The sequence below is a fragment of the Homo sapiens genome, chromosome 3 (assembly GCF_000001405.40).
Source record: "Homo sapiens chromosome 3, GRCh38.p14 Primary Assembly".
In the NCBI taxonomy this organism is placed as follows: domain Eukaryota; kingdom Metazoa; phylum Chordata; class Mammalia; order Primates; family Hominidae; genus Homo; species Homo sapiens.
The window spans coordinates 187,927,112-187,934,330 of record NC_000003.12 but is presented as its reverse complement, the minus strand read 5'-3'; the positions used below and the strand labels follow the sequence as shown (position 1 = coordinate 187,934,330).

General features: G+C 41.1%; 1 long non-coding RNA gene across 1 annotated transcript, besides 1 other annotated feature; it reads left to right on the top strand.

Moving 5' to 3' along the window:
- The first annotated feature begins 1,105 nt into the window (after positions 1–1,105).
- LOC105374265 (uncharacterized) lies at positions 1,106–2,862 on the top strand. The gene is made up of 2 exons (XR_924814.1): positions 1,106–1,186; positions 1,499–2,862. It is a non-coding gene; the product is annotated as an uncharacterized LOC105374265 (long non-coding RNA).
- Positions 1,723–1,772: an enhancer, noted in NCBI's record as "active region_20973". NCBI's record gives its function as "activates an Ori minimal core promoter by ATAC-STARR-seq in GM12878 lymphoblastoid cells {active_cell/tissue: GM12878}" and the evidence as "EXISTENCE:reporter gene assay evidence [ECO:0000049][PMID:35858748]".
- Positions 2,863–7,219: the final 4,357 nt, after the last annotated feature.

Sequence of the window (7,219 nt, the reverse complement as noted above, 5' to 3'; positions counted from 1 at the left end):
TGTATTTTTTAGTAGAGATGGGGTTTCACCATGTTAGTCAGGATAGTCTCGATCTCCTGACCTCATGATTCGCCCACCTCGGCATCCCAAAGTGCTGGGATTACAGGTGTGAGCCACCGCGCCCGGCCGAGTTATTTGTTTTTTAAAATCTGTTTTTCAAGAGAGAGTGATTGATTTCTATGTTTGTCAGTCTTTCAACCATTCATCCTGTAATCATTTACTCACTTGGTAATCAAAGTTATTGGGTGGTTACGTAGGACAGAAAAAGGGCATGAATTAGCTGTCCAATGATCAGGGTTCAAGTTCTGCTACCATTTTTCTGAAGCCGTGAGCCCTTTGTCCATTTGAGCAACATGAGGCTCACTCATATGTAAAGTGGGGCTCATGGTGAACATGAAAGCTCTGAGAACTCCACAGTGCTGGGTAGAGAAGGAGTTTCTGTGACATGCAAGCCACTGAGCTAGAAATCTGAGATAGAAAGATAAGCCATTGATACAGCCTGTGCTCTCAAGAAGCTTACACTTGACTGGTCTGCTGGCTTAATGCTGAATCCAGCAGTATGGGGCACACAAAGAATCTCTTAGGTGGAATCTAGGAATCCTGGGTTTGGGGTCAATCTGAGCCACTGACAGGTTGTGTGACCATGAACCACTCACGTTCCCCCTCTGACTCTCGGATTTCTATCTGTCCCATGAAAGAATTATTAAGCCTGATGATCTCCAAGGCATTTTCTAGCTTAGACATTCTATGGAATGAGTGAAAATCAGGCAAAATTTGAAACATGTTAAAATATCCATCATGAGCCCATATGTGTCATATGCTGGTTCCTATTTGAAGAGCAAGGACATGGGAACATTTTCGGCTTGAGGCAGTACTGGCATTCCAAGAGGCAGTTCCTGGCTCTGTCAGTGCTGTTCTTCAGCTGGAAGCTCTGTTTCTCTGCTTAGCTTCTGTCACATCATGATAGAGAGAGAGTCTTATCGAAGAAGACTAGGAATACACTTGTGAATCGTGAATAAACATGATGGGTATTGAATATTTGCATGCATTTTTGTCATGTTTATTGGCTGTTTCTCGAACCTTACTATGAGTCTGAATGGGGGAGGCAGAGAGTATGAGCAGTGGGAGCCCAGCATAGAAATCCTAAGTTCAAGGTTTGGCACCGGCTCAGCAGGTGACTATCAAGGTGACATTCATTAATTCATTCACTTGTTTACTTAATCGGGAACCATCTATGGAGCATCTACTATGTGTGTTAGGCCCTGGGTTAGACATTTGAGATGTTAAGATGAGTAGGGTGTAGTTTACCGGACGGTGTGCTTTTTGAAAGCAAGTGCCTGATCCTTATTTCTTCATTGCTTGAACATGGCCCTGCCCTGAGGAGCACATAAATTAGCAAAGTCTCTGGGCAAGTAGTTTATTTTCCTAGAACTCAGTGTTCATTCCTCCTTAAGATGGTTTTGGAATTGGACTTAATGATCTCCAAAATTCCTTCTAGCTTGGATGTTCTGTTCTGCAGTTACCTAATATCTCGCAATGAGAAAGGTTTGCGTCCAGCGATGGAGGAAAGGTCACAGAACAATCTGCAGCAGGTGAAATGAAACCGCAGAGCCTCCAGAGAGCACATGAACCAGTAAGTCCCTCCTCACCTGAGAAGGCTATGAGACTAAGCCTGGTCTGGAAATGCAAATAACATGCTCGAGTACAGCAAGAACAACAGCACTGGCTTTGGGTTTTGGTGCAACGATAGGGGACCCTTAAGGCAGAAATGAGGCTTACCTGGTGACATGCTGGACAGTGCTGTACCATCCCACTGGTTCAGAATGGAGGAAAAACGTTGAAGCTGGTCATACTCTGGATAGAAAACCAGTCTCTGGGCTCCTGTCCCTCTGCCCTCCCCCTGCTTTACCTGTGTCACCAAAACTCTCCGGGGACAGCAACACCTACCTCCCATGCCACCGTGATGATTAAATGTGAAAACACATATGAAAGGTCTTCGTAAACTCTAAAGTGCTTTATACATGGAAAATAGAATTAATATCTGTGGAGGAGGGAGAAATAGAGGGGCACCTTGAAGAATGAATAGGTGCTACGTAAGTGGAGAGCTGTGTGCCTGCCTGTCAAGGAAGTAAGCACTTTATAAAAGTCAACTCATAACGTCAGGCAGGGACTATTATTATTCCCATTCTACAGATGAGGAAACTGAATTCCAAAAAGTTTAAGTAACTTGATCAAGGCCACCTCGTTGGTAAATAGTAAAGTTTGGACTCACACCGAGGAAGTCTGGCTACAAAATTTGTGCTCTTAACCAATATGCTCTTCTGCCTCCCTCATTGAAAAAAAAAATGTTTGTAATTCAATTTGATTCCAATCAATACATGGCTTGAGTGCCAGACTGGGCACTGGCTGTGTAATGATGAAGACAGTCCATGCTCTCCAGAAGCATAAGCAAATAAGAAAATACTCCAAAGAATAAGGAAATAAGATACTACAAATATGACTGGCACTGGAATAATGTAAAGAAGAATGTGGAAATGGAAAAGAGGAGGAGTGTTCCAGTGGCCGTGCATTTAACAGAGTAGAGAACCAAGCGGGTGGATAAAGAGCAGTTCAAGGTGAGGCTGAAAAGGTGATGTTCTGGAGCCTGATGGTGGAGGGTCCAGAGTGCCAGGCTAAAGTGACAGGGTGTTAGCCTGGAGAGGGTGGGCAACTGTGAAGGATTTTGGATCAGGTAAATAGTATATCAAAAAGAGAATTTTAAGAGACTTAAACTAATGAAATAGGAGAAGGACGTTTATCTGGGATCAGCACAGTTACTCTAGTCTGTGGATTGGTAAAGATAAATAAAGGTTAATTTTTCAACTTAGACTCATCTGGGAAAAAAGGGGAAGAAATTTCTGGGATTTGGTGCATCATTAATTCTCAAAACGATGAAGAATGGAGATGTGGCCATAGAAGATGAAGTTAACGGGAACCTCAGGAGTGACCCTCCTCCGTCCCACGCTTGACTTCTTTGCTTCATTGTGGTGGTGGCCTGGCTTCTGGGAAACTCCTCCAGCCATGGGGAATTCCTTGCCCAGTGAAGCAGCCTGCTTTTCTTGGATAGCTTTTATCACCACAATGAGGTTTTTCTTTTCTTTCTTATTTAACTACAAATGCTCAGTCATTACATTATTCAAATCTAGGAATTTCACTGCCTCAGTGTCACCATATTGGCAATCTCCAAAGGCCCCAAACCTTTCTTTGCTGTCAGCGAGAAAACTCTGTGGGGATCACCAGGGGATGGACCAGGGAGGCTCAGGACTGGGAGATGAGACAAGCACCCTCAGAAGGCGCAGACTTAGCTAGATTAGGAAAAAGAGGCCCAGCCAGGCAGGTGGCACAAGATGTTAGAGGTGGAAGATATGAAGGAGTTACTGCATCTGTGGCCTTCTCAGTGGAGCCCAAGAACAAGACTTCAGTAGTAACCATGTTAGTAAAGAAATAGGTGAAGTCATGAAAATCACTTGTAATTCTTATTAAGCATCCTTTGTTCTTTTCAATGAATGACTGAGGAAACCTTACAGATCATTTTTCAATCAGTACCCACTTGGTGCCAAGAAACGAGATTCACAAATGGAGTAAACACAGCTCTTGCTGTGATGGGCTTACATGGTAGGGGGCAGATAAAGGGGTAAGCTATATATATATATACACATATATATACACACACACACACACATAATTGCTATATATTATACATATATGTAGAGAGATATGCTCTGCAATGTACACATAGGAGGCCACCAGTCTGTCTATGCTCCATGAGGTCAGGACTATATCTCTTTTTATTCACAACACTATATTCTCAGTGCTTAGAATGAGGCCTGACAGACTCTCAATGAGTATTTATTGAATGAATAAATGTGTGAGTAAATGAATAAGTAACATCTGATCTAAAACCAGAGCCAGATTCTTTCTGACCTTCAGCCTAATAATACTTTACTTACTATAACCTGGAGATTCCCATTTTGTAATGTCCCCTCTATGAGGCTTGTCTTAACAGGTAGATATGAACGAATTGAAGACACCCACAATGCCAGCTATTGTTTTCTATGGCAACACTGCCCATCTCAGTGCTGGTTCCTGGGGCACATGACAAGAATATCTGGTTGAGTCCACAGGAGACAGACCTCATGGGAAGATGACACGATCATGAAGCCTGCTCATCTCCTCTACTGTCCAGTGAACTTGGGCAAAGTCACTTTAACTCTTTGGACTTTAATTTCTTGTTTATTAAACAAGTGAATATCACATCGGTTTCACATAGTTATTAAATAATTTCATTCTGGGAAAGAACTTGGCCTTGTTGAGAAAAGATCCAAATTGAATCATCAGGCCTCTTTCCTGGAGCCAATCTTTTCAGAGCATTCAGACTCAAGGGTTAGCCCTAGGGAGCAGCTGACATCAGAAGGGTATTTGAACCTATGACCTTTTGGCTTAAAAGTAAGAGTTCAACTCTCCCCACATTTTCTCTTGTGTTTCGATGTTGGCCAGGGGTGGCTGCTGCACCCTGTGTACAAACGGAAACCCCAAATTGTGTTTGCATCTATCTGGCCAAGGTACCTTCCCCAGCTCCACCTCCAGATGTTCCATGGGGGTTTGAAGTGGGAAGGAGGAGTTAACGCACCCTAGTGTCTCTCTGATAGGGGCAACTGTGTGCACCCACATGTACGAGAGATCTGGGGCTGGGAGTGTCCCAGCCTGCTTCTGTACATGTGGGCTGACAGTGACATGTTGCTTTAGCCAGAAGGAAAGTGCTTCTGTAATCACAAGAGAGAGGTTTCCCTGTCTTCTCTCAAAGAGAGTTTGGAGGCCACTAGTTTTTCACCAAACTGCCAAGCTTTCCCCATATCAGTAATATTTCAATGATGTTTACAAACTTGCCCGTCTGCTCTTTAATACACAGAGCTATGCATTGATGGTACATGTGCAAGGTCTGACCTTTTCGTAGGAAAAAACATTCATAACCAAAGCCTATATATAGCAGCTTCAGACTGGAGCAGAGGAAGATGTAGGTCATCTGACTTTTTTGTGTGTGAAGCATAATGCACGAGAGACGTGGCAGACAATTGAAAACTCATGAAATACTGCCTCTGGTCTGAGCCTTGCTAATATTTATCAAAACCTTTAAACAATGACATAGTTTTCAACTGGGAATTATAATGCCACCTACTAACCCTGAGCATAAGATTTTTTCCACAGGGGAAATTTACTTAGTTTAAAACTGTATTTCACTATGTAGTTAACTCTTAACTATTTCTTTTAAAGGGGAAAAGAACAGTTACCATCAAAATTTATTCAGCGAACAAGTATAATATTTAAAATAATACGATAGGTAATTGAAAAACATGATTTGTGTCACTTATCAGGCTCATCGTTACCTACATAAACATAAACCAAATTCCTCAGCATTCAAGGTGAACATGACCTGGAGGTTGCCTGCCTGTCCATCAGTCTCCTCAGGGTCACTTTTCATATTCTGTTCCACTGAACCTTGTACCGTTTGTTCCTTCCTGTTCCTTTGTCTTTGTCTTTGCTTCCCTTACTCTCTGTTCTTGGGAAATCTTTTTCTGGACATCTCTGTATATCCAGTCTATTCTGTAATATATGAATCAAATGCCATCACCTCCATAAATCCTCTCTTTTCTTCATTTCCCAGGCTGTTTGTTTTTAACTAGCTGACCATAGCTTGTTCTGTATTATAAACTTATTGGTGTCCATGTCTTATATCCCATTCTGATAGACTATGAACCTTCTAAGGGCAGGTCAAGAGTCATGTCTGAGGCACTTTGTACCCACATAGTGCGTAATACTGCAGACAATGTACAATACAAAACACCTATAAAATGCATCCCTGCAAAATGTTTATTAAGTAAATGAATTTGGCTTTGGAATATACTAGTACAAACATAGAATATTTATCATATGGAGCTACTATGCTAAGCACTATCTTGTTTAATGACCAATAAATCCATGAAATTATTATTATTGTCATCATTTTTAATAGCAGAAAAAACTAAAGCTCAAAGAAGTTCAAAACCTCACCAATGTCACATAGCTAGCAGAACAACAGACCAGGATTCAAACCCAGGTCTATCTGGCCTAGTGGTGTGCTGGAAGCTGGCTTGTTCCAGTTTATAAGAGCTAATTGTGAAATTATCAGGAATTTTGGGAACTGCTGGAAAAGCACAGTCATTATTAAAAAGTAAATCATAAAAACATAAATCATACAAAAATAATGGTAATAAATACTAAAAACTCACCACTTCCTATTTTTTAGGACATTTCATCATTAAATATGCTCTTGAGGTTATTTGTATTTCTTGCATTTGTATGTTAGAAATATTGTACAATGGTGTGCTGCTGTGTATCTCTTCCAAATACCACATTCAGTGATGTTGCATTGGTGGCCTGAATTCAACCATGATGAGAATATTTACACCAAGGATATTGGCAAACACAACAAATGAGGGCTTCCTCCCAGAAAGGCAGTTATTAAACATTAACAAGCATGCCACAGTCCAGCCCCAGAACTGGACTGTACTTCAGAAAGAAACAGGCTTTGGCCCAAGCACACATGGACATCTCCATTTCCAGCCTTAGTCTGCACTTGGTAGGGCCTACCTTTGGACCATCACAGATAAGTTGCTTTCTCAGAATAGAAAATTGACTTTCACAAGGCTCCTTTGAGCCTCGGGGTTGGAGTGAAAGTAATTCTTAGTGGTTATTTTATGCCTATAAAATATATCCTAAACCTCTACCACAAATTTAGTTATGCTCTTGATCATAATCATATACCCAGGAATATATAATGTAGCTCTTGTAACATTGAAATTCCAAAATATGGATATAAATGTATTTCCCCAAATTTATATTAATATCATAACCTACTGTTTTTAAGCTATATCTCCTTAGACCCTTGATTTCATATACATAGTTTCCACATCGTATACCTTCTATGTCTCATGAAATGAAATCTGAGTTTTGAATCAGAGGTTGTGAATTTCAGTGCTGTTCTTTAACTCAAGAGCAGGTCAGATAACATTGTTAACCACATGTCAACTAGCACGTTCCATTGCTAATTAACAGTTTTCTCATCTTTCCAATGAGGAGTTCGGCCTAGATGTCATCTTTTGAAGACCATTCTGGTTCTATTTCTAAATGATACTGCATGTTG